This window comes from Homo sapiens, chromosome 6, assembly GCF_000001405.40.
Source record: "Homo sapiens chromosome 6, GRCh38.p14 Primary Assembly".
Lineage (NCBI taxonomy): Eukaryota > Metazoa > Chordata > Mammalia > Primates > Hominidae > Homo > Homo sapiens.
In genome coordinates, this window is record NC_000006.12 from 2,852,644 (window position 1) to 2,878,080 (window position 25,437).

Here is a 25,437-nt window from a genome sequence, read left to right on the forward strand (position 1 = left end):
GCAGTGCTGACCTGTATGAAGGATGTTCACGCGGTGCGGTGCTGACTCTCTGTATAACACATGTTCACGCAGTGAGGTGCTGATCTTCTGTATGAAGCATGTTCACACAGTGCAGTGCTGACTCTCTGTATGAAGTGTGTTCACACGGTGCATTGCTGACCTTCTGTATGAAGTGTGTTCACACAGTGAGGTGCTGATCTTCTGTATGAAGCATGTTCACACGGTGCAGTACTGACTCTCTGTATGAAGTGTGTTCACACGGTGCGGTGCTGACTCTCTGTATGAAGCGTGTTCACACAGTGCGGTGCTGACTCTCTGTATGAAGCATGTTCACACGGTGCGGTGCTGACTCTCTGTATGAAGTGTGTTCACCTGGTGCAGTACAGGCTCTCTGCATGAAGCATGTTCACACAGTGCGGTGCTGACCCTCTGTATGAAGCGTGTTCACACAGTGCATGTGAAACCAGAACCGACAGTCGAACCCAAGCAGAAGTCTTGACCAAGCACTTCCCTCCTGGGAATGCACCATGATATCACCACACCGAAGTCCAGGCTGGCAAATAGGGACATTTAAGTGACATTTAAGCTCGTGGTGGCCCTATGAGGAGTCATTGCTGACTGAGATGGGATTTTAAGGTGTTGCCTGCCTGTGTGTTCTCAGACCCTCTCCTGAAGCCCCACCCCTTCCCCTGATCCTCTCCTGGGACCCCCCTCCCCTATCCCTGACCCTCTCCTGGAGCCCCCCTCCCCCCTCCCTGTCCCTCTCCTGAAGTCCCCTCCCCTGACCCTGTCCTGGGACCCCCTCGCCTTTCCCTGACCCTCACCTGAAGTCCCCTCCCCTTTCCCTGACCCTCTCCTGGAGCCCCCTCCCCTCTCCCTGTCCCTCTCCTGAAGTCCCCTCCCCTGACCCTCACCTGGGACCCCCCTCCCCTTTCCCTGACCCTCTCCTGGGACCCCCTCCCCTTTCCCTGACCCTCTCCTGGAGCCCCCTCCCCTCTCCCTGTCCCTCTCCTGAAGTCCCCTCCCCTGACCCTCTCCTGGGACCCCCTCCCCTTTACCTGACCCTCTCCTGAAATGCCCTGCCTGCACCATTGTCTTATATTTTTCTCATGGTTAGACTGGGGTTATGGTTTTTTCTGGGAAAGGCCACAGAGGTAAAGTGACATCTCATTGTGTCATATTCAGGGTCCATGCCATCAACATGACTCATCAGTGCTGACGCGGTGATGACCTGGGGGACGCAGTGTTTCTCAGGTTCCCCCACTGAGCCTCTGCAACTCCAGTAGTGACAAACCGCTCCACCCCCCGCCATCCATTTTCTTAATTGTTCAATTGCTAGTATCACATTTCATCAAGAGACGCATAGCAGAGTCCAACCAAGACTCCATGATAGAGAAACCAGGCAAGAACTACTGTCTCGTCGCAACTTGAGGAGACAATATTTCTTGCCTGGTTTCCCTATCATGGAAACTGAGTCCCCCACAGTTTCGTTTCCTCAATCGAGCTAATTACTGAGGTTGCTTAGCAGCCTCCGGAGTGAGCACAGCGGAAACTATCATTAGGGAACTTTGAACGTTTCTGTGAAATGCCAACAGGAAATGTTTCGGCATTTTCAAAATATTTAGAAAATTCCCTGTTCAGTTACAAAAGTGAATCTGAATCTTACCCTGCAGAAGTTAAACTGCTCCCTCTTCTGGATAAAATTACCTTTGTAATTTCTTTTTACAACCTACAGCCTATTGTGCTTGGGTTTCCAAATGGTTTAAAGTTCCCTTGTCCCTTACTTTGTGTCAAGGGGGTGTTTGTGCCTTAAAGGGAAGATCCTGTGCCTTAAAGGAAACCAGAACTGATAGTCGAACCCAAGCAGAAGTCTTGACCAAGCACTTCCCTCCTGGGAGTGCACCATGATATCACCACACCGAAGGCCAGGCTGGCAAACAGGGATGTACACGCAGGGGAGACGAGAACTTCTCCCGTGAGAAACAGCACAGTCCAGCCATATGAACCCACAGCTCAGGAAGTATTGCTCACTTTTACTGTTCTCTCTTAGGGAAGGGCATTCTCAAAACGTTTCCGCACAAGCAGACCATCCCTTTTATTTTCCCCGTCTGTCTCCTTTCCTTCTGCTTTCAAAATGTCTCAAGAGTATTTACAAGAGTTGAGCAACACAGGCATCTTTATCTGGGGTCTTTATCCACAGAGCAGAGGACAGGAAGTCATCACTACAGAGACGAAGCGATGTATGGTTTGACCCAGTGGAGGACTTTGTTAAGGTGGAGGTGTGAGTGTGGAGTGTAAACGTGGGACATCCAGGGCAGTGGAGGGTAACCACTGGAGAGGAAGTCTGGGGACAGTTTGGGAGCAGCCAAATATAAAATAAGCATTTCTGTTCTAAATCCAAATGAACATTCTACGCTGCTGTCATCTCCAGTATACCTCAGAGATCCTAAAGTTTCCTGAAGTTGTTTGGAAGTCACGGCCGATGTAAAGTGAAAGCGCACACATATCTGTAAGCTCTGAGCTCAGGATTTCACGTGAGGTCCTTTGTTCGGGAGGCAGGGGGGTTCTCCCTGTTGCTGGCTGAGGTCACTGCATTCATAGTGTGACAGGAGACAGCACAATACAGCAAAGCAGCTGGAGGGATTGCCTTGTAGAGTGGAAGACCTTCCGCAGAACAGAACGCTCTCTGTCCTGTTCTGCTGGAGAATGAAAAGGGATGGGTGGCCTGCGTGAAACCTCTTTATGGGGCTTGTGCGTTCTGACACTGTGACCGCCGAGGCCACAGCTGCCTTTGTTTCTTCCTCTCTGACCTCCATGAAGGGCTAGCGCACAAACTTGGACAGGGACGGCTCTATCTCTTGGGTGATATTCTGGAAAAGTCAGTCTTGACTTAGTCAAAGGCATCGGTAATTCCCCAACAGCTGAGAGCAGACTCCATGCTGCGGTTTTCTTGTAACTTGAATCGAGGAGACTTCCACATCTTTGCTATCCATTGCGCCTGGCTTTGTCCACTCGCTGACTTCTTCATATATAAGCTCATTTTCCACCTGGAAGAAAAGAGGAGAGAGCCTTAGGGCCCCAGCATTGGGTCCGCACCGAGGCCTACACTGCTCCCCCCATTCCCACCTAGGACCATGGCATCCCAGTCCTCTCTCCCTGTGGGAGGCTTTCACAGAGGTTCACATGGGCCCAGGCCACTATGATTTTCTGAGTCTCCTTGTTTAATAAAGAAAATGAAGTGCCAAATATTGTGGTATGTTTTAAAATTTTGTATTTAACAAGTGATCTTTCAAAAATGCAATGCAATCTAATTGCGCTATTCCGAAGTTAAGCATAGGATTTAGAAAACATTCTTATGGCATTTCTTTCATGGAACATGAGCTTAACTTTTATCATTAAAGTAATTTCTGTCCGTCTTTTCAGTGTATCTGTCTCTGTGACTCTAAGTATAGTAAGATTACTAGGAAATAATTTCAACATTTTAACTTTGAGGCCCTATGTGAGGCCCAAGATAAGCCCCACGCACCCCCATTCCCAGCCACAGGCTCTGCTGCCTGGCACCTCAAGGTCTGGACCCTGTACAGGGCTCCCACATGTCGACACAAGCTCCCATGTGTCACCTGTGCCTAGTAGAGAGGTGTATATTGCAACAAAAACTACAAATCAAAACAGGGCTGCAGCTCAAGAATCTTCAAGTTTCCTGTACCCCACCACTGGTTTAAGACAAGGATCAAGTTCATTTCAAGTAACTTATTAGTTACTAGTTAGTAATTGGTGGTAATTTCTTTTTTTTCTTTTTTTTTTAGATGGAGTCTCACCCTGTTGCCCAGGCTGGAGTGCAGTGGCACGATCTTGGCTCACTGCAAGCTCCACCTCCCGAGTTCAAGCCATTCTCCTGCCTCAGCCTCCCCAAGTATCTGGGACTACAGGTGCCTGCCACCATGCCTGGCTAATTTTTGTATTTCTAGTAGAGACAGGGTTTCAGCATGTTGGCCAGGCTGGTCTCGAACTCCTGACCTAAGGTGATCCACCCACCTTGGCCTCCCAAAGTGCTGAGATTACAGGCGTGAGCCACTGTACCCAGCCGATAATTTCATAGATTATCAGCTACCCTGCACATATTCATGTATTGCTTGTCAGTTGACAGGAAAGAGTCTTATCTTATTGGCCAAGAATTTAGCCGGCATCTTTGATCCCATCAGCAGTTTTGCACTTGATATTTGAGGAGTTTCAAAATGCTAGGAGGCTTTGATATTTTCTTTCACCTCAAAACGAAAATGAAACATGGTCCAAAAAGTTTGCGCTAAGACCAAATGGCCAGTGCAATTTGTACAAAGAGTTAACACTGTCCTTTTGGATTTTCAGAAAAAGAGCAAGTAACCTTTATGGAGACTGAAACCATAGCCATTTCCATGGAAGGTTGGGGCAAGAAGCCCTATTTTCAATTTGCTCACACAGAGGCTCTTCATGGGAAGGCCAGACTGCCATGGATGAAACATACAGCGGGGATGTATCCGAACACCGTCTCCTGGCCTGTGAAACAGACCAAGAAGTCCCCTTGGAGTTAGAGGGGCCTCTGTGAGCCCTGAGAGATGCTGCAGCCCAAGGAAGACATGGGAGGAGGCACTAAGCAGTGTCCCAGGAAGTCACATAAAGAAAACATCATTGGCTGCGCTGCTGCAAATCTGTGTCTGGGAGTTTGGGCCAGGGTGAGAGGGTCGCAGGCTCTGGGCGAGGTTTAGGAAGCAGGAAAGAGGAGTGGACCCGCTGGAAGCCAGAGGACAAGGTGGACGGGGTACAAGGAAAGGGGTCCGCCAAGGGCAGCCTGGGAGGACCCTCCTTGATCATGAAAAAAATGAGCAAACGGACACAAATGTCTTTTCAAAAAAGATGCCAAAGGTTGGCCTCAGCAAAGTCCCCTGAAGCATCCCCTTCTTGCTTTCCCTGAGAAGCTAGATTCTGCGTGTGGGGTGGGGCATCCGGACTTGGTGGCTTTCCTTCTGAGCTTTCCCCACCTGAGTCATCTGCAAAGGGCAAGGCTGCAGGCGGGAGAGGCCGGTGTGATGTGACCGCCAGCCACGGTCCCCACACCCCTCTCTGAGGGCTGTCCCCTCCACCTCATGCCATGACAGGAAACTTTATGACCTGTTCACTAAAAAATCACTTAAGGATTGGAAAGCACCTGTCTATAAATAAAGGCAAGGGGGCTGCCATTTTAAAATTGGGGGTGAGACTGGTCGTGTGCTCTCGAGTGGGCGGGGACTTACAGTAACTCAGAGGCAGGGCAGTTCAGGAGCTGTACATGAGCAGAGGCCCGGGTGCTTGGAGGCCGGCCAGCGTTGGTGGGCCTTCCTGAGGACAGGGTATTTGAGACATACAACAACAGACATAAGCAAGGTTATGATAAAGCTGCAAACCGTTTTCCTGTTTTCATGGGGGCGTAAAGCTAAAGCAGCACTGAATTAACTCTCGAAGTGGGAGGAGAGATCACTGTTGAGGCGGGAGAGGGGATATGGAAAAGTCTGCGTTAGGACTCAGCTGTGTCTGCCGCCAAGGCAAGGGTAACTAATAGATAACAGGCCTTAAGAATTGCTATCTTTGCTCCTCTTCCTGTCTCCCCCTCTCCCTCCCCCTCCCCCTTCCACCCTGTTTCTCCCTTCCTCTCACCCCCTCTCTGCTTCCTGTACTTTTTTTTTTTTTTTTTTTGAGCCAGAGGCTTGCTTTGTTTCCCAGCCTGGAGTGCAGTGGCGGGATCTGGGCTCACTGCGACCTCTGCCTCCCGGGTTCAAGCAATTCTCCTGCCTCAGCCTCCCGAGTAGCTGGGATTACAGGCACACGCAACCATGCCTGGCTAATTTTTGTAATGTTAGTAGAGATGGGGTTTCACCATATTGGTCAGGCTGGTCTTGATCTCTTGACCTTGTGATCTGCCCACCCCAGCCTCCCAAAGTGCTGGGATTACAGGCATAAGCCACCATGCCTGGTCTCTTCTTTCTTTCATCTGGCTTCTAGAAAAAGAAAGTTCTGCCTCAAGGCCTGGGAAAAATAGTTTGGTTTCATTTTGTTTTTCTCCAGCTGACAGTGGTTCTCTGAGTGAATGCCCCTTTCTCATGGCCCCACCTCTGTTTGACCCACCCTACCTCTTCCCCACACCCAAACCAGCCTCCTTCTGCTGCCAGATCATCCTCGGAGCCAGAGATCCCCGCTGGTTTGGACAATAAACATTTGTTGTGCACTTTCTATTACAGTGCCAAATATCAGGTTAGGTTCTGGGGAGATGAGAAAGGATTAAGCAGTGTCCCAGCCTCCAAGGAGATCATGTGACTCCACTGATCATAAATGATGGCCCTGGAAAAAGTTCCAACTCCTCTTCAGTATGGCTCCAGCTGAATGGCTCTGTCCCCTGCCCCTTCTCTGTCTGGGCTGGTCCCTCTGGTAACTGTCTTATGGGTCTTCTCCCTCCACACCGTCGCTCATGCAGGCCCTTCAGTGTAGTACAGCCTCACAGATGCTCAGCTCAGCAGCCCTTTGCTTGAGCTTTTGGGTTTAACCTCCATCCTCTTCCTGTTGTCTGTATCTCTGCGTCATCAAACATCTAAATTTAAGTCTCCTATCTGTGTGATCTTAGACAAGTGTCTAGTGTCAAGTGTCTAGTGGACAAAGGTTTCTAAACCTTTGTCCTCCATTCCTCATTTGTGAAAGGAAGGTAATGGCTTCCGCTTTGTCCATGGCTTAGAGTTGTTCTAAAAATCAAATAACATGATAAATAAATTTAAAAAAAAACAAGTAAGATAACAAGGGCTGGTCCAGATGTGGAGGAAGGGAACACCTGCACACTGTTGCTGGGAATTTAAATTAGTACAAGCATTCAGGGAAACAGTATGGAAGTCCCGCAAAAAATTAAAAATAGAATTACCGTATGATCCAGCAATTTCACTACTGGGTATATCTCCAAAGGAAATGAAATCCTTACCTTGAAGTGGTATCTACACTCCCATGTTCATTGGAGCACTATTCACAATGGCCAAGATATGAAAACAAGCCAAGTGTCTGTCCATGAATGAATGGCTACAGAAAGTGTGGTATACATATATCTGGTGGAATATTATCCAATCTTAAAAAAAAATTGTCATTTTCGACATGGATGAACTTAGAAAACATTATGCTAAGTGAAATAAACCAGGCCCAGGCACAGAAAGACAAATACTGAATGATTTCATTGATATCTGGAATCTAAACTAGAACTCATGAAAGCAGAGAGTAGAAAGCGGCTTGCCTGGGGCTGGGGAACACGGGAATGGGGAGACGTTGGTCAAAGTGGGAGGTGACAGCGTGCTGGCAGTTCTCAGAGCCCTCTCTTGCTCTCGGCACCTCCTCTGCCTGGGATCCCACTTTGGTGGCATTTGAGGAGCCCTTCGGCCCCCCCACTGCACTGTGGGAGCCCCTTTCTGGGCTGGCCAAGGCTGGAGCCCACTCCCTCAGCTTGCAGGGAGGTGTGGAGGGAGAGGCACGAGCGGGAACCGGGGCTGCGTGCAGCGCTTGCTGGCCAGCTGGAGTTCCGGGTGGACGTGGGCTTGGCGGGCCGCGCACTCGGAGCAGCCGGCCCTGCTGGCCCCGGGCAATGGGGGACTTAGCACCCGGGCCAGCGGCTGCGGAGGGTGTACTGGGTCCCGCAGCAGTGCCAGCCCACCGGCGCTGCGCTCGATTTCTCGCCGGGCCTTAGCTGCCTTCCCGCGGGGCAGGGCTCGGGACCTGCAGCCCGCCATGCCTGAGCCTCCCACCCACTCCATGGGCTCCTGTACGGCCCGAGCCTCCCCGACAAGCACCACCCCCTGCTCCACAGCGCCCAGTCCCATCGACCACCCAAGGGCTGAGGAATGCGAGCGCACGGTGCGGGACTGGCAGGCAGCTCCACCTGCACCCCCAGTGTGGGGTCCACTGGGTGAAGCCAACTGGGCTCCTGAGTCTGGTGGGGATGTGGAGAGTCTTTATATCTAGCTCAGGGATTGTAAACACACCAATCAGCACCCTGTGTCTAGCTCAAGGTTTGTGAGTGCACCAATCGACACTCTGCATCTAGCTGCTCTGGTGGGGCCTTGGAGAACCTTTATGTCTAGCTCAGGGATTGTAAATACACCAATCAGCACCCTGTGTTTAGCTCAAGGTTTGTGAATGCACCAATCAACACTCTGTATCTAGCTGCTCTGGTGGGGATGTGGAGAACCTTTATGTCTAGCTCAGGGATTGTAAATACACCAGTCGGCACTCTGTATCTAGCTCAAGGTTTGTAAACACACCAATTAGCACCCTGTGTTTAACTCAAGGTTTGTGAATGCACCAATTGACACTCTGTATCTAGCTGCTCTGGTGGGGCCTTGGAGAACCTGTGTGTCCAAACTCTGTATCTAACTAATCTGATGGGGACGTGGAGAACCTTTGTATCTAGCTCAGGGATTGTAAACGCACCAATCAGCGCCCTGACAAAACAGGCCACTAGGCTCTACCAATCAGCAGGATGTGGGTGGGGCCAGATAAGAGAATGAAAGCAGGCTGCCCGAGCCAGCATTGACAACCTGCTCAGATCTCCTTCCAGACTGTGGCAGCTTTTTCTTCTTCTTCTTCTTCTTCTTCTTTCTCTTTTCTTTTCTTTTCTTTTCTTCCCCCTTCTCCTTCTCTTCTTCTCTCTTTCCTCTCCCTTCCTCCCCCTCCCTTCCTCTTTTCTCTCGCTTTGCAATAAATCTTACTGTTGCTCGTTTTGGGTCTACACTGCTTTTGTGAGCTGTAACAGTCACGGTGAAGATCTGCAACTTCACTCCTAAGCACAGTGAAACCATGAGGCCACCAGGAGTGAATTAACAACTCCAGATGCGTTGCCTTAAGAACTGTAACATTCACTACGAAGGTCTGCAGCTTGCCTCCTGAGCCAGCAAGACCGTGAACCCACCAGAAAAAAAAAACTCCAAATACATCTGAACATCAATAAAGGACAGACTCCAGATGTGCCACCTTAAGTGCTATAACACATCATGAGGGTCTGCGGTTTTGTTCTTGAAGTCAGTGAGACCAAAACCCCACCAATTCCCGGTCACAAAAGGGTATAAAGTTTGAATTATGGGTTGAGCATTCTGGCTCACACCTGTAATCTCAGTACTTTGAGTGGCTGAAGTGGAAAGATAAGTTGAACACAGGTGGGGGAGGTAGCAGTGAGCTGAGATCACACCACTGCATTTCAGCCTGCGTGACAGACTACCTCAAAAAGTTTAAGGTACTCAAAGTTAACACATTTTGGAAATCTAAGGTACAGCATGGCTATGAAAGTTCATGAGAATGTATGCTTGAGATGTGCTAAGAGTAGATCCTGAATGTTCTCATCACATACACAAATGATAAGTAAATGTGGAGGATATGTTAATTTGCTTGACTATGGTGATCATTTCACAATGTATCTGTATTTATGGTTTAAATGTTTGTTCCCTCCCAAACTCATGTTGAAATTTAATTACCACTGTAACAGTATTAAGAGGTGAGACCTTTAAGAGGTGATCAGATCATGAGGGCTCTGCCCATATGAATGGATTAATGCATTTATCTGGGGAGTGGATTCCTTATAAAAGGACAATTTGGGCCTTCTTTTGTCTCTCATCCTCTCTTGCCTTCCACCTTCCACCATGGGACGAGGCAGCAAGAAGGCCTTCACCAGATGCCAGACCCTCAATCTTGGATTCCCTGCCTCCAGAACTGTGAGGAAATAAATTTCTGTTCTTTATAAATTACCTAGTCTGTGGTATTCTGTTATAGCAGCACAAAATGGACTAAGACATATATCAAAACATCACATTGTACATTGCAAATGTATACAATTTTTGTTTGTCAACTATACCTCAAGAAAGCTAGAAAAAATCAAATAGTCAAATGGATCTAAAGTGTTTCTAAGTAGCAAAAGTGCTTTACACATCTATTTTGTTACCATGTTCTATGTCATATTGAAGGTGGGCTTGCCTTTCCACCTTTGGAGTGGATCATAAAGTCCTTGAAGAATGGTCTTCCCACAGTATTCAGCACACAGGAGTACCCAAGACATTTGTGTAGAGTTCCTCTGAATTAAAGCTGATGTCAACAACACTTCAGATGTCACCAGAGGGTAGGCAGGGCTGCAGAGTCACCCACCTTCAAGGATGATGCTCCAGTCATACCCAATGTGAAAGGTGTCCCCTGGAGCCATGCAAACAAATGAGGTGGCCCCAAGAACAGGATCCTAACATCTCAGGAAGTCAGTCGGCCTTGCTTGGCCACAACTTGAGTTGCACTTAATTTTTAAACTACCATTAATCCCCCAAAACAGGTGGTGAGAAGGTATTTTATATATGAGTGTAACGGCTTTGTTCTCATTCTAAAAGAAAGCAGATGTTATTCAAATCAGATGACCACAACCAGATGACGGAAAGGGGAAGGCAAAATGTTTTAACTTATTAAAAATATAAACTTGACTCAGAATACTCACATGATTCAGCTAAAGAGAAAATCATCTCTGGTGTTTAGGCACTCATTTGCATTTAAAAACCCAAAAGGAATCATTGTGACGAATTGTTGATATTAATATTTGTATTAACTGTCTAGGGCTGCCATACATAACAAAGTACTTTAGGCTGGGCAGCTTAAACAACAGAAAGGTATTTATTGTCTCATTTCTGAGGGCTGAAAGTCTAAGATCAAGGTGTCAGTAAGGTGGGTTCCTTCTTGGGACTCAGAGGGAGAATATGTTCCAGGCCTCCCTCCTTAACTTGCAGATGGCCCTCCTCTCTCTATAGCTCTTTAGTGTTTTCCCTCTGTATGTGTCCGTGTCCAAATTAACCCTTTTATAAGGACGCCAGTCATATTGGGTGACCTAATGACCTCATTTTGCCTTAATTACCCCTGTAAAAACCCTGTCTCCAAATACAGTCACATTCCAAGATACTGGAGGTTAGGAATTTAACATATGAATTGAGGGGAGTGAAGAACAACCCAATCCAGCCCATGACAGTGTCCTAGTGTTTCAAGACAGTTTCTGCACAGATAGACATGGAGACATCGTTCTATCCTTACCTTGCTGATTTTAAGACTCCCTACCCCACACACAAGTTGCTGCTGTTGTTTATTTAATAAAACTGTGTAGATCACTTTCCTTTGAAACACTGATGCACAGCTGTGGAAGGTGGGGTATCTGGGATTACATGCCGACATCCAACCTCGCTGGACCTATCCGGCCCCAGGCATTGCACCAAGGACTGAGATACACTCGTGGATTTAATCATCCAAACACATCTCCTAGGAGGAAGGCCATACATGATCCCCCCAGGCTGAGGCTTCTTAAGGCTCCCCAAGGGGAGGTGGACTTGACACACTGAATACAGGATCACTCCCAGTTGCCCAAAGAGTTTACAGGGCAGAATTACCTTTTCATCTTTATATCCCCAGGGCCTGGGCCAAAGTCAACATTCCTACATGTTTGTTAAACTAAGCTGAACTGGAAGAAACTGCTCCAAATACCAGTGGATTCTTTGGCCGCCATGCCCTGAGCTATGTAAGGCATATGCCTCCTCCATCATTTAGTAAGAGATAACTAAAGAAATGTTTGGGCTGGGTGCAGTGGCTCACACCTGTAATCCCAACACTTTGGGAGGCCGAGGCGGGTGAATCACTTGAGGACAGGAGTTTGAGACCAGCCTGGCCAACATGGTGAAACCCCGTCTCTACTAAAAATACACAAAAAAATTAACTGGGCGTGGTGGTGCATGACTGTAATCCCAGTTACTCGGGAGGCTGAGGCAGGAGAATTGCTTGATCCCAGAAGCCGGAGGTTGCAGTGAGCCCACTCTGTCTCAAAAAAAAAAAAAAAAAAAAAAAAGAAAAGAAATCATTTGCTGATGACTATTGTTCTAAAGTTTTTTGTTTTTTGTCTCCCAGAATAATTAAAAATTGATTGCTTTTCCTTACCTAATAATTTTCTTATCTACCACATACCAATTTATATGTAGTAGAAATAGTTGTGGAAATAAATTTCTGTCCTTTATAAAGTACAATGCTGTTAACAACAGAAAACATAAAAATTAAAGACCCCACCCTCTGTCGCTTTCACCACCTAAGCAATTGTGTGTGTTGCAGGGACACCGCTGCAGCCTCTGCAAAGGACGGCCCCTCTGGCTTGGCCTGATACAATTTCTGGCAAGATTCTTTAAAGTTTTGGGGGAAAGACCCATCCTTCTTATGCCTTCATAGGAATGAGAATTGTATTCATTGCCACAATCTTTCTTGTTTCTCCATAGTCAACAACTTTTCTGAGAAATGAAAACCCTAAAAATTGTCCTGATGAGAGAGTCAGCTACCAACAATCCCAGAGTGTTGAGAAGAGAGGGCAACAGCAGCAACGGACCAGGCATAACCAAATGGAGACGGGGCAGCCTGTTGTGGGGAGGGTCAGTCGTAAAATAATCGGCCCATTTGTCCATTGTATTCCATGACCAGATTTTAAGCTCCTTGAAGATGGGATTCTGTCGTGATTTTGTGACCCCCCTCCCTTCACCTTGCAACACGTAGGATAGAACTCACTGAGCATTTGTCTCTGAAGAAGAAAGGAATCTTTCTTTCCCTCCCTCCCTTCCACTCGCTCTCCCTCCTTCCTCCCTCCCTCCCCGCTTCCCTTCCCCTCCCCTCCCCTGCACTCCCCTCCTCTCTGCTTCTCTTTCTTTCTCAGGATCTCACTCTGTCACCCAGGATGCAGTGCAGTGGTGTAACCTCAGTTGACTGCAGCCTCGACCTCCTGGGCTCAAGCAAACCTCCTACTTCAGCCTCCTGAGTAGCTGGGATTACAGGCGTGTGCCATCACGCCCGGCTAATTTTATTTATTTTTTGTAGAGACAAGGTCTCACTAGGTTGCCCAGGATGGTCTCAAACTCCTGGCCTCAAGTGATCCTCCCACATTGGCTTCCCAAATTTCTGGGATTACAGGTGTGAGCCACCAGTCCGGGCCAGAAAGGAAACTTTTTATCTGAGGAATATGAACCCCTTTAAGTCATCAGGTCCAGACAGGCATTGAAATGTGACAGTAGTCACATCTCACTCACTGCTTGAGCTATGTATGTATGTAATCTGCCTGCTATGTGGACTCTTGACCCAATGCCACCACCAATAGCTATAAATTAACCTAACGACGGCATATGCTGGACAACATAACTTATACCCTATAGTTCAACTATAGCCAATCACTAATCAATGTTATTTCTGTAAACCAATGAGAATTCTTAACCAACAATGTTGGTAATTGCCTCCTCTCCTGATTCATCCTTTGTTCTCTGGGCACTTCCCAAGACAACTTGGAAGTGTTTCCCAAGCAGCTGTTCTCAACCCTGACCCAAATAAACTCTCATATTAATTTTGCCTCAGCTTCTTCCTGTCAGTCGACAACTCCTAACTAGCTATTTTCATCCCTTTTCAAGCTTCCTAAGAGGTTACTTTCATTTAGGTTCGTGATATAATAAAAAATATATCTGGTGTTTATCCCCAGTTCCCGGCACAGAGCTCCTAAAACCCTTGGAATTTCCTGAGTAATGCGAGTGTGTTTTGCTATTCAAAATGAGCCGCTTTAGCTACACCTGAGCTTATGCTGATGAGGCGGCTCTTGGTGATCCCCTGGGGAGGGAAGAAGGGCTGGGAATTGAGTTCAGCCACCAATGGCCAGTGAATTAATCAATAACACCTATGTAATGGAACCTCCATAAAAATCAAAAAGACCAGGTTGAGGGAGCATGTGGGTTAATGAACAGACAGGTGCTGAGAGGGTGGAGTGTCTAGAGAGGGAATGGAAGCTCTCTGCACGCACCCCCGACCCCCCTTAACTTGCTCTCTGCATCTCTTCCACTGGTTGTTTCTGCCTTTATAATAAACTGGTGATAATAATAAAGTGCTTTCTTGAGTTCTGTGAGTCATTCTAGTAAATTATTAAGCCTGAGGGAGGTTATGGGAATCCCCAAATTTGTACTTGGCCGGGCAGCAGTGTGAAGAGCCTGGGCACCCCATTTGTGACAGGTGTCTGAAGAGGGGGTAGTCTTGGGGGCTGAGCCCTCTAACTGGACGTTAAGTACTGTCAGAATTGAATTGAATTGTTGGACACCCAGTTGGTGTCAAAGAACTGATTGGTGTGAGGAAAAAAACCTCTTAAAGGTCTTTACTCCCACTTACTGGTAGTGTTGCTAAGTTCATAATGCCTTTTTCTTATCACTCATGGCTTCATTAGGCTTGACTTACTGGTCTTACTTGCCTAGATTGGTCTTGAACTCCTGGGCTCAAGCCATCTTCCTGCCTTGGCCTCCCAAAGTGCTGGGATTGCGGGTGTAAGCTACCATGCCCAGCCTCAGTGTTTTTAATACACACAATAAAACTTATTACCTTAAAAATTAAACTTCTCATGTTAGTCTAAAACAAGTTCCAAATGAGTTAATGCAAAAACACAAAATTATAAAAGCTCTAAGGAAAAAGACAAGTGAATATTTATATAATCTGAGTGTCAAGAAGACTTTCTATGCAAGACTCTGGAGGAAGAAAACAAAAAAAATACTAAAGTGGACTATTTAAATAAAAAAAGTTCTTTACTTAAAATATTAATAACACTAATATGTAAATTAAAAGCACGGGAATTATCTTGCGATATGTATATAACATTAAGAAAAATCTATTGGTAGAGAGTGCTTAAAAACTGCAAGACAAAAAAATGAATATCCCAAGGACAAAAGTAGGCAAATAAAAATAGGCTAATTCTAAAAGAAGTATGGGTGACTAATAAATGAAAATTTAAATAATGACGTGCAATTTTCCTCCCATCAAATTATCAAAGTGATATCTGTAATGGTAAAAATATAAATAGCTGGAATGTCTGTTTTTACATGATTGAATAATACATTATGGTTAAGTTACCTAATGGATCACAAGGTAGCCATTATAAATGATGCCAGAGAGATGTATTGACATTTAACAAAGCCCAGGCGATTTTCTGTTGCATGAAATATGCATAGGCACGAGAGCTCTGATTTAGCAGCTAAAAACATGAAGATCCAGAAATACTTTATTTCATGCATCTTTTCTTCTCCCAACCCTATTCTGGCTGAAATCGACTAAAATGAATACCACTGGCAACCTTGTTCGTGGGATATTGTACAAGAATGAGCTCTTAAATCAATGTGTCAGAAAATGAAGGAGACACAATGCTGAGGTGGTGTTCTGGATTAAAAGAATTTTAAGCAACATCACAATGAAATTTGATGCATAACCCTTGAATGGATTCTTGCTCAAATAAACAAGCTATAAAAGTATCTCCAAGACCGCTGGAAAATTTGAATATGGATTCAGTATGACAAACTAATTGTTCATTTTAATAAGTATGAGGTATTACGGTTACATAGGAAAATGCCCTTTTAAAAAATAAAAAATGCACATTTAGGGGTATATAAAAACGTATTTAGGGGTAAAAAGTAATGTATATAATTCACTGATTTTTTAAAATGTCCAATCCAATATTAAGTTCATCTGCCAAATGTTTCATTTTAAATGTTTCAGAATTTTTTTTTTTGAGATGGAGTCTCGCTCTGTCGCCCAGGCTGCAATGCAGTTGCGCAACCTCGGCTTACTGCAAGCTCCGCGTCCTGGGTTCACGCCATTCTCCTACCTCAGCCTCCCAGTAATTTTTAAGTTTCTATTTTTCTGTTGAGGTTTTCTATCTGTTCACTCGCTATGCCATCTACTCCTTAAATCCTTTAACATATTTCTAAGAGTTGCATTGCAGTCTTTGTTAATTTTAACATTTGTCTCACTTTCGTGTGTTTTTATTGACTTTTTCCTGGTTATGGGTCATACTTACACTACGTAGGTTTAATAACTTTTTAAAATATGCTAGACATTTCAGCATGTAGTTGAGAGTCCAGAGATCTCAGGCCTCAGGACTAGGGCTAGTATAGCCCTAGAAGATTATTCTAAACTATTATCTAATAAAAACCAAGCTTCCACAAGATCCAAACCAACCCACCAGTTGTTTCGTATACATTGTCCAGTTTACGGTTAATAACAATGGGAGGATAACTCTTGATACTTGTTACTCCACCTCGGCTGGAATTAGAAGTAACAAGTTAGGCTCTCAGCTTTGTTACCACCCGTGACATGAGGGGTTGGGCTAGGTAAGTGCATGCATCAGAATCACTCACCCGGAAATGCCCATTCTCAAAATTCCTGAAGTCTCAGATGGGGCTTGAAAATTCAGAGGTCTCACGAATCCTAACAATTCTAATATTGCCCATACAGAAAACCACTTAGAGCCAGATTTGATTCAACCCCAGAAGGTAACTAAAACCACCTGAGAAAGTTTTAAACACCAATGCTTAGGCTCCGATCTAAAATAATTAAGCTTCAGTGGAAAGTAATGTCTGAAATTTGTGGATTCTTGATCACACCTAAATTAAGCAAAAAAAGCCACAAAAACCTCACAGTGAGCGTTACAGTTCTTAAGAAAGACATAAAGACACCCAGAGCTTATTCCTTTTGACATTCAGATAGGCACAATTTTTTCTGCTAGCTAGTTCATGGCCTCATCAGCTTCAAGAGTTAACCCACAAACTTTCATGTGAAGTATTACAGCTCCTAAAAACACAGAGCCCAAGAATCAAAAAACAAAACGCACCACAGTTTAGCCTGAAGAACGTAAAAAAAAAAAATCAAAAACCCCAACACAGAAAACAAACTCAGCAGTTTGTGCTACTAGGTCAGGCAGCCTGCTTTTATTCCCTTATCTGGCCCCACCCACCTCCTGCTAATGGTCCATTTTACAGAGAGCTGATTGGTCCATTTTACAGAGAGCTGATAGGTCCATTTTACAGAAAGCTGATTAGTCCGTTTTGACAGGGTGCTGACTGGCGCATTTACAACCCTGAGCTAGACACAGTGCTGATTGGTGCATTTACAATCCTTTAGCTAGACATAAAAGTTCTCCAAGTCCTCACTCGATTAACTAGATACAGAGCACTGATTGGTGTGTTTACAAACCTTGAGCTAGACACGGAGTGTTGATTGGTCTGTTTACAAACCTTGAGCTAGACACAGAGTGCTGATTGGTGTATTTACAATCCTTTAGCTAGACATAAAGGTTCTGCAAGTCCCCACTAGATTAGCTAGACACAGAGCACAGATTGGTGCGTTTACAAAGCTTGAGCTAGACACAGGCTGCTGATTGGTGTGTTTACAAACTTTGAGCTAGACACAGAGTGCTGACTGGTATATTTATAATCCTTTAGCTAGACATAAAAGTTCTCCAAGTACCCACTGGACTCAGGAGCCTAGGTGGTTTTGTTTAGTGGATTCCGCTGCTTTGGCTGAGCTGCCTGCCAGTCCGGCACCAGGCACCTGCACTTCTCAGCCCTTGGGCAGTGGATGCTACCAGGCGCCGCGGAGCAGTGGGCGGCGCCCAGCAGGGAGGCTTGGGCGCATGCGGGAGCCCACCACCGGGGTCGGGGGGCTGGGGCATAGCGGGCTGCAGGTCCTGAGCCCTGCCCTGTGGGGAGGCCCAACGAGAATTCTAGCGCGGCGCGCTCGGACCAGCAGTGCTGGGGGGGCCAGCAGTGCTGGGGGACCCAGCACGCCCTCCGCAGCTGCTGGCCCGGGTACGAAGCCCCTTACTGGTCGCTCTAAGTGCAGGGCCTGCTGAGCCCGCCCACGCCTGCGCCCACCTGGAACTCATGCTGGCCTGTGAGTGTGGCGCGCAGTCCCGGTTCCCACCTGCGCCTCTCCCTCTACACCTCTCCTCTCCCTCCACACTTCCCGGTAAGAGGGAGCCGGCTCTGGCCTGGCCACCTCAGAGAGTGGCTCACACAGTGCAGCGGCGGGCTGAAGGGTTCCTCAAGCGCGGTCAGAGTGGATGCCGTGTCCTGAGGAGGTGCCCAGAGCGAGCGAGGGCTGCTAGCACGTTGTCACCTCTCAGTGGGATTTTTGTTTGTTTTTTAATACAAGAGCAGTCTTTAAAATTGTCCCATTCATGCTCACTACTGTATCTGGGAGGCCAAAGAGAACTGACCTCATGTGTATACATAATTTTCTTTTTATTGATTTAATTATATTGACTATTAAAACTACATGCAAGACAAAAATGCAAACACTGCAATGAGTACACTGAAAAAAGAGAAAATATCAAGGTCTAAAAAGAATTAATAGCTCCCCCAGCGATTTTTTTAATGTAGCTAAAGTTGAGAACCCCTGGATTGGGTAGTCTCTAGTATCCATTCAGCTCTGACTTCCTACAATTCCATGACACACAGGATGGAATTTGCAAAGGGAAAGGAGGGACAGGGAAGTTGCTCATCTGGGGGAGGGAAAGCAAGTTGATGGGACAAGGAAGGTTTGTCAAGTAGAATCCCCAGTTCCAAAAGACAGGACACAGGAGCATCCCAGCAGAGATGGCATCCAAGAGAGGACTCTCAAAACTGCATCATTTTCAAATTAGGCAGAAGGTCCTCAGAGTCCTGAAGTTGTCACCTACAGTGTATGATTGCCCATAGTTAGAATTATTTCTCAGGTCAGGCACACTTTCTCCATCTACAATATGAGTTTCCAGTGTAAAAGTTGGATTCATTACCTTGAACGTACTCTTATGCAATCACGGAAATTTTTTGAGCTAGAAAATTCTCCAGAGATACAGCCAACATTTTCTTGCTACTAGACAAATATATTTTATATATATTTGTTTATATATATATAACAGTTTATAAAGCACTTTCACATGCATATTTTGCTGGATTACAAACACCTCATGTGTGATAGGCCAAGCTGATATTTTCTCTCTTTTATAAGGCTCTGAGAAGTTACGTGGCTTAGGAAAGATTCCACAGTGAATCAGAGGCAGTACGTGGACTTTAAAGCTCATAGGGCTGGGCGCGGTGGCTCACGTCTATAATCCCAACACTTTGGGAGGCCAAGGCAGGTGGATCACAAGGTTGGGAGTTCGAGACCAGCCTGGCCAACATGGTGAAACCCCATCTCTACGACAAATACAAAAATTAGCCAGGCATGCTGGCGCGTGCCTTTAATCCCAGCTACTTGGGAGGCTGAGGCGGGGGAATTGCTTGAACCCAGGAGGTGGGGGTTGCAGTGAGCTGAGATCACGCCACCGCAATCCAGCCTGTGCGACAGAGCAAGACTCCATCTTGGGAAAAAAAATAATAATAAAGCAAAAAATAAAAAAAGCTCATCAACTCACTCGAAGCCTACTGCCTTCCCACAAGGCAATGAAACCTTTGAGTTTATATAAAAAAAATGAGCCATGTAAGAAATTATCACAGGTGTGCAAAGTCCTAACACATTTTTCACTTCCTTTCCTATTCCAGCAGCACTGGCATAGTCGCTCCATAACCTGTGGAAGAAAATATCTAATCTGTATCAGTCAGGAGAAGCTGGATACTCTGTGGTAACAAAAAATCCCCCAAGTCTCAGTGGTTGCAGATAACAAGGTGTCATTTGTGCTTCAGGCTACAAGTCCATCATGAATAAGCAGGGACACTTGGGGACCCAAGCAAGTAGAGTAGCTATCACCTCGTATGTTGCTGATGTCATGCCAGAGGGACAAAAAGAATTCTAGAGGACCTCAAACTTTCCATTAAATACTTCAGTGTGTGTCACTTCTACACACAACTTGTTGGCCAGAACTGGTCACAAAGCCCCAAAAGGGAGCCAAAAAGAACCATCCTACTGTATTAGTCCATTCTTACGCTGCTAATAAAGACATACCTGTTCTCATGCTGGGTAATTTATAAAGAAAAGAGATTTAATTGACTCACAGTTTCATATGACTGGGGAAGCCTCAGGAAACTTACAATAATGACCGAAGGGGAAGCAAACACATTCTTCTTCACATGGCAGCAGGAAGAGAATGAGAGAAGTGCAGAGCAAAAAGGGGAAAAGCCCCTCACAAAACCATCACATCTCATGAGAACTTACAATCATGAGAACCGCATGGGGAACCACACTATGATTCAATCACCTCCCAGGAGGTCCCTCCCCTAACACGTGGGAATTAAAGTTTGGATTACAATTCAAGATGAGATTTGGGTGGGGACATGGACCCAGACCAATGTGGACCCAGATCACATGGACCCAGATCACTTACCATGTGCTGGAAGGGAGGAAATCCAGAAATTTCTGGCAAACAACTCTAATGGCTACAAACAATTCCTCCTCCTTATGCAGTGGAGGTCTCCTTGCTTGGGCCATTTGGGCAGCCACATTTCCTTCCACTCCCAGGAAGAGCATGGCCAGAGCAGAGGAGACACTTGGGACAGACAAAAGCACATTGCATGAAGGGTTTTCTTCGTATGGCTCCTTTAAAAGATGATGGCTGGAGCCATTTGCTTCAGAGAGGGCGCTCATGGTGGAGGGTCTGGCAACAGAGCACGGGGAGGAGTGTTTGACAGTTTGTCATCCTCCAGGAGAACAAGCAGCTCCTCAGATGGAGCCAGCAGAATGTTGGAGGGGTTGGGGGAGGAGGAGTAGCTCTTGGCTGTTGTACAGCCCAGGGAATTCGGGGGAGGAAGGGGTGACTGAGAAGCAGACTCCTCTCTTCTTCACTCACAGGCAGGGCAGAGGGACCACTAGACAAGGTTGGGTGACAGGGAGGCAGGAGGCTATGCTTGCCAGGGGGACAGCAATGCAACTGACAGCTTCCAGAGGCCATCTGATGTCAGGGAGGAAAAGTGAGGTCAGTTAGAGCCAAAATCGCTGCTCCTTTTTCTCCCCACTCACTTGCAGCCATGCTTCTCCCCGCCCTGCCCAGCACTCAGCACCTTCCCTTACGCTGCCTCCGCTGTCCAAAGACACCTCATCACATGCTCCAGAACCATCGCCTCTGCCCCAAACACCTGCATTAACTAACGCATTAATTAACTACTTTTTTCTTCGTCCTCCTACTTCTTTTCTTCACCACCTTCCCGGAAAATTTCATAATCCACTCTCTGTAGCATTAACTGTGCATTAAGAAGACAGCAATCTGATTCAACTAATTTTCAATAATCACAAACTAGGCCAGGCGCAGTGGCTCATGCCTATAATCCCAGCACTTTGGGAGGCCAAGGTGAGCGGATCGCTTAAGCTCGGGAGTCTGAGACCAGCCTGGGCAATGTGATAAACCCTGTCTCCACCAAAAATACAAAAATCTAGCCAGGCATGGTGGTGCGTGCCTGAAGTGCCAGCTACTCGGGAGGCTGAGGTGGGAGGATCGCCTGAGCCTGGGAGGCAGAGGCTGTAGTGAGCCAAGATTGTGCCACTGCACTCCACCTGGTGTGACAGAGTAAGACCCGTCTCAATTTTTAAAAATTAAAAGAAAAGAAAAGAAAAAAATAAAAAATAATAATAACAAACCTAACATTTATGTTGAGCCCTTACTATGGTCCGTGTACTGTTGCCTAAGTACAGTATGTCACAACCCTAATTCTAAATACAACCCTTTGGGGTATCCTCCCAGATGAGGAAATCAGGTGTGGGGAGCTGTAGTCATTTAACTAAGAAGGTTTAATTTGTAAGTGGCAGAATGAGGGCCAAACACAAGCCCTCTGGCTACAGAACTCACACACCTAACTGCTATGCCACCTCTCAGCCATGCTGATGTCAGGTAGACGTTAGGTAGCATGACAACTATCATCAAAACACTCCCAGGGGATCTTGATTTCTGGAATTCCAGGCCACTCGGTGGGGACATTCTAGAGCAGAGGTGTGCTCATGCCCTGGCAGAGCATTCTCAGACCAGGGTCTCTGGCAAACCCCAGCGGGCCTCTTTCCATGCCCAGGCCCTTCTTCTCTTTGCCTTAGGTAAGCCCAGAATTTCTCCTCATCCTTGTCTGTCCAGGACCTGTGTTCCTCCCAGCCCTGGCCTCCATCCTGGTCCTCCTGGATGGCTTTGATGAGCTGATGCCTGGCTGAGGGCTCCGCTTCCCCAGGCTTTGGCCAGAGAGACACAGGCTCTCCCCTGGGGACCCAACTCTGGGCTGTCATCTTCAGCTTGTGTCTTGGGATGCTCCAACTCAGGAAAGGGTGCCTCCTAGGAGATGGGAGGGGGTCACAGAGGGGAGCCCTAGAGTAAAAGTATCCTGGGCACTGGCCAGTTAGAAGAAACGTTGGTGATAACACGGCCAGTGAGGCCATACTGGTGCATATTTGTGAAAGGCTGGCCCATCAGTCAGTCTTCCCCCAAGGTGACATATCTTCAGTATCAAAGTCACTGCTCATGCCAGGACATCACATCGTGGCTCTCATGGCCTCCCCATCCCAGCCCTCCCAGCTTCTACTCGGGGGTTCTCTCTGGCGACTGGGCTCAATAAACAGGAATCGAGCCACGCCCCTAAGACAATGGACACCGATGAGCCGTCCCCGCTGGTTCACCTGTATTTACACACCCAGTTTCACATCCAGTTAGACACTCTGTATCGTTATTGTCTAATCTTAGGCACACACTGTATTCCTAGACCCATTGGTCTTTCCCTGCCCTCCCCCAAAGGCAAAATGCATTTAGGGTCCCAGAGATCCCTGGGGAGACACGCAGCGGAGGTGACCTAAACCCAAAGCAATGGTCTACGGAGGTGACCTAAACCCAAAGCAATGGTCTGGCCCCCTCTCCCTCCTAAGCCTTCCAGCTAAGGGTTCTGCTCTTCCGGGGTCAGGGCAGGCCCCGGGCCGGTGCGCTAATCCGGCTAGGAGGCTTCGGGCGAGGCAGGCTGGAGACGCCAGGGCAGCCCCAGGGCAGCGGCTCCTGTCCCCAAGTCCTCGGGCCCTCCTCCAGCCTCCCTTCGGCGCAGGACCCTGGGGGAGCTCGTCCCCACCGCCAAGCCGCTCGCCCTTCCCCGTTCGCCGCCCGGAGGTTCGGGAAGGAGACACACCCGGGCCAGGCGCGGTTGCTCGCGCCTGCAATACCAGCACTTTGGGAGGCGGAGGCGGGCGGATCACCTGAGGTCGGGAGTGCGACCAGCCTGGCCAACATGGCGAAACCGTGTCTCTCCCAAAAATACAAAAATTAGCTGGGCGTGGTGGCACGAGTCTGCAATCCCAGCTACTCCGGAGGCTGAGGCAGGAGAATCGCTTGAACCCGGGAGAGGCTGCAGTGAGCCGAGATCCCGCCATTGCACTCCGGCCTGGGCGACTAGAGCGGCTCAAATAAATAAATAAATAAATAGAAGTCACCCCTGTCCGAACCTGGCTGAACTCCAGGCGTTCCCCACCCGCAATGCTGCGGGGTGCTGCCCCAGGATGCACCCCTCCTAGGAGACGTCCCGCTTCGGAGATCCCAGCTACCCGCTCCCTCCCCCAGGCCGCCTCCCCAGAAGCCTCCGAGCAGTTGGGGCGCATTCGTGTTTGAAAAACACAAGAGGAAGCGCCTGCAGCGCTCGGTTTCCCCCGCGGGGCAGCGCGGGCGCGGGGTGCGCGTGGGCGGGCGGCCGGGGTGGGCAGGGGACCGTGGGCGGCGGGCGCCGCAGGGGGCCCCCCACCCCCCCATCCCCCCCTTACCCCCCCAACTCGCTCTGAGCCCGGGGGGTGCCGGCCTAGGCTACAGGTGGGGAGGACTCCCGGTGGCCTGGTGGAAAAGCTGCCCTCTCTCACCCAGGCACGCCACGGACACCAGCACCGCAAGGGCTCTTTTGTGAAAAATGTCTCCGCCAGCACGCTCTCAAAAGCTTCTCTCTGAATCCGCTCATCTGAGGAGTCCAGAGGATCTGGGCCATTCTTTTCCAGTCTGCACAAGGGGAGGGAGGTCAGCTGCACCCTCCCTGTGAAGGACGCCGCCCCCTTTCCTTCCCGCAGCCCTCGCCAGAACTCTCTCGGGCTGCCTGGCAAGCGACAGCTGTACAGTGAGCCTCGAGTGACCTTCAGAGGCCAGGCGCCCACAGCATCCAACCTGACACACTGCTGACCAATGAACTTGGTTCTGCCCCAGTCAGAGCACCAGAGTTCAATGTTTTATTGACAGAACCACTAGAAGCTGCCTTTTCCCAGCCTTTACAAAACTCAGGACTCGGCCTCTCAGCATATTTCTCAATGAACAGCTGACTGTGCCCTGGAATGTCAGGTCAATCGCCTTGGCTTTGTTCTTTCTGTTATGACACATCCATTGTATGGGTGTTTGTGGCGAAACTGAAACAGAAAGATTCTCACTTTAACATCCTGTTGTGAGGATTTCAGGATCATGGCACACGGGAGGTAGGACTAGATTGCCACTCTGACCAGAGCAGCATGCAGAGGCTCCCACTGTGAATTTTAGCTCCAGATCCACTGCAAGAACAAACCCGCAATCCTGAGAGGGCCCACAGACCCTCCGAAGGAAGCAGACTGCTCCTGCAGGACCCGGGAGACACCCCAAATACTGAGTGCCCCAACTGTGGAAGTGGGAAAGGGAGACCCTCCTCTCCCCAACACACACTCCCACTGGAGAAGCTGAAGGTCTGTTTGCGGAGAAGTTTCCGACTTTACCTGGAGCAGAGTCAAGTTGGAGAGCCCAGCGAAAAACAGGGGGAGAGGAAGCAGCAGTAAGGCCCTGGGAGCTTGCTGGGTCCCCTAGCAGCCCATTCCTGTCTGGCACCACAGGGATCCTTTGGGAGGGTGGCCTGAGGAGCAGGGGGTAAAACTCCACAGGGAGAAGGAATTCTGTAGCTGAACTTTGTAACAATTTGAACCCCGCGAGAAGCCTCCTGGCCAGAACTCAGGAGGGGGCTCGAATCCAGCGTGCAGACTCCACAGGCGTGGGAAGAACTAAAGCTCTTTTCTTTCTCAGCTAGGAGGTGGAAAGCCTGCGACAAGTTTTCAAAACCATCTTGCTCTTCACCTGGAAACAGATGCAGGGCTATTGTGGAGGGCACAGTGGGAGTGAGACCAGCCCTTCAGTTTGCATGGGAGCTGGGTGAGGCCTGTGAGTGCCAGCTTTCCCGCACTTCCCTGACCCCTGCATGACTCAGCAGAGGGAACCATAATCCTACTATTTACGCAATTCCAGTGACCTGGGAATCTCACCCCCATTCCCCACAGCAGCCACAGCAAGACCTGCCCCAGGAGAGTCTGAGCTCAGACACGACTAACCCCGCCCCCACCTGCTGGTCCTTCCCTACCCACCCTGTTAGTGGAAGACACAGGACATATAATCTTGGGAGTTCTAGGGCCCTGCCCACCACTGGTCCCTTTCCACACTACTACAGCTGATGCTTTCTAGAAATCACTACCTCCTGGTAGGAGGCCAACCAGCACAAAAATAGAGCATTAAACCCCAAAGTTAAGGACCCTCATGGAGTCCATTGCACCCTCTGCCACCTCCACCAGAACATGTGCTGGTATCCACAGCTGAAAAACCCATAGATTAACATCACATAGATTAACCCATAGATTAACTCATAGATTAAC

The 25,437-nt window shown here is 48.0% G+C and overlaps 1 non-coding gene and 1 pseudogene across 2 annotated transcripts, besides 10 other annotated features; both read right to left on the reverse strand.

The window, feature by feature from the left end:
- Nucleotides 1,184-1,924: an enhancer, noted in NCBI's record as "nonconserved acetylation island sequence 71". NCBI's record gives its function as "activates a minimal heat-shock promoter by reporter assays in Jurkat T cells {active_cell/tissue: Jurkat}" and the evidence as "EXISTENCE:reporter gene assay evidence [ECO:0000049][PMID:17135569]".
- On the reverse strand, nt 1,388-1,464 carry MIR4645 (microRNA 4645). Its single transcript, NR_039788.1, has one exon. It is a non-coding gene; the product is annotated as a microRNA 4645 (primary transcript).
- Nucleotides 2,014-23,867, reverse strand: SERPINB9P1 (serpin family B member 9 pseudogene 1; annotated as a pseudogene). Its single transcript, NR_033851.1, has 2 exons — nt 23,650-23,867; nt 2,014-3,047 (listed from the first exon to the last, which is right to left on the reverse strand). The product of NR_033851.1 is annotated as a serpin family B member 9 pseudogene 1 (transcript).
- Nucleotides 2,501-2,560: an enhancer, noted in NCBI's record as "active region_23874". NCBI's record gives its function as "activates an Ori minimal core promoter by ATAC-STARR-seq in GM12878 lymphoblastoid cells {active_cell/tissue: GM12878}" and the evidence as "EXISTENCE:reporter gene assay evidence [ECO:0000049][PMID:35858748]".
- Nucleotides 2,621-2,750: an enhancer, noted in NCBI's record as "active region_23875". NCBI's record gives its function as "activates an Ori minimal core promoter by ATAC-STARR-seq in GM12878 lymphoblastoid cells {active_cell/tissue: GM12878}" and the evidence as "EXISTENCE:reporter gene assay evidence [ECO:0000049][PMID:35858748]".
- Nucleotides 5,936-6,515: an enhancer, noted in NCBI's record as "active region_23876". NCBI's record gives its function as "activates an Ori minimal core promoter by ATAC-STARR-seq in GM12878 lymphoblastoid cells {active_cell/tissue: GM12878}" and the evidence as "EXISTENCE:reporter gene assay evidence [ECO:0000049][PMID:35858748]".
- Nucleotides 10,062-10,391: an enhancer, noted in NCBI's record as "active region_23877". NCBI's record gives its function as "activates an Ori minimal core promoter by ATAC-STARR-seq in GM12878 lymphoblastoid cells {active_cell/tissue: GM12878}" and the evidence as "EXISTENCE:reporter gene assay evidence [ECO:0000049][PMID:35858748]".
- Nucleotides 14,044-14,153: an enhancer, noted in NCBI's record as "active region_23878". NCBI's record gives its function as "activates an Ori minimal core promoter by ATAC-STARR-seq in GM12878 lymphoblastoid cells {active_cell/tissue: GM12878}" and the evidence as "EXISTENCE:reporter gene assay evidence [ECO:0000049][PMID:35858748]".
- Nucleotides 14,174-14,323: an enhancer, noted in NCBI's record as "active region_23879". NCBI's record gives its function as "activates an Ori minimal core promoter by ATAC-STARR-seq in GM12878 lymphoblastoid cells {active_cell/tissue: GM12878}" and the evidence as "EXISTENCE:reporter gene assay evidence [ECO:0000049][PMID:35858748]".
- Nucleotides 17,075-17,649: an enhancer, noted in NCBI's record as "H3K27ac-H3K4me1 hESC enhancer chr6:2869952-2870526 (GRCh37/hg19 assembly coordinates)". NCBI's record gives its function as "activates a minimal SCP1, AML or CMV promoter by ChIP-STARR-seq in naive H9 embryonic stem cells {active_cell/tissue: H9 hESC(naive)}" and the evidence as "EXISTENCE:reporter gene assay evidence [ECO:0000049][PMID:30033119]".
- Nucleotides 22,421-23,362: an enhancer, noted in NCBI's record as "H3K27ac-H3K4me1 hESC enhancer chr6:2875298-2876239 (GRCh37/hg19 assembly coordinates)". NCBI's record gives its function as "activates a minimal SCP1, AML or CMV promoter by ChIP-STARR-seq in naive H9 embryonic stem cells {active_cell/tissue: H9 hESC(naive)}" and the evidence as "EXISTENCE:reporter gene assay evidence [ECO:0000049][PMID:30033119]".
- Nucleotides 22,500-22,549: a silencer, noted in NCBI's record as "silent region_16833". NCBI's record gives its function as "represses an Ori minimal core promoter by ATAC-STARR-seq in GM12878 lymphoblastoid cells {active_cell/tissue: GM12878}" and the evidence as "EXISTENCE:reporter gene assay evidence [ECO:0000049][PMID:35858748]".
- Nucleotides 23,868-25,437: the final 1,570 nt, after the last annotated feature.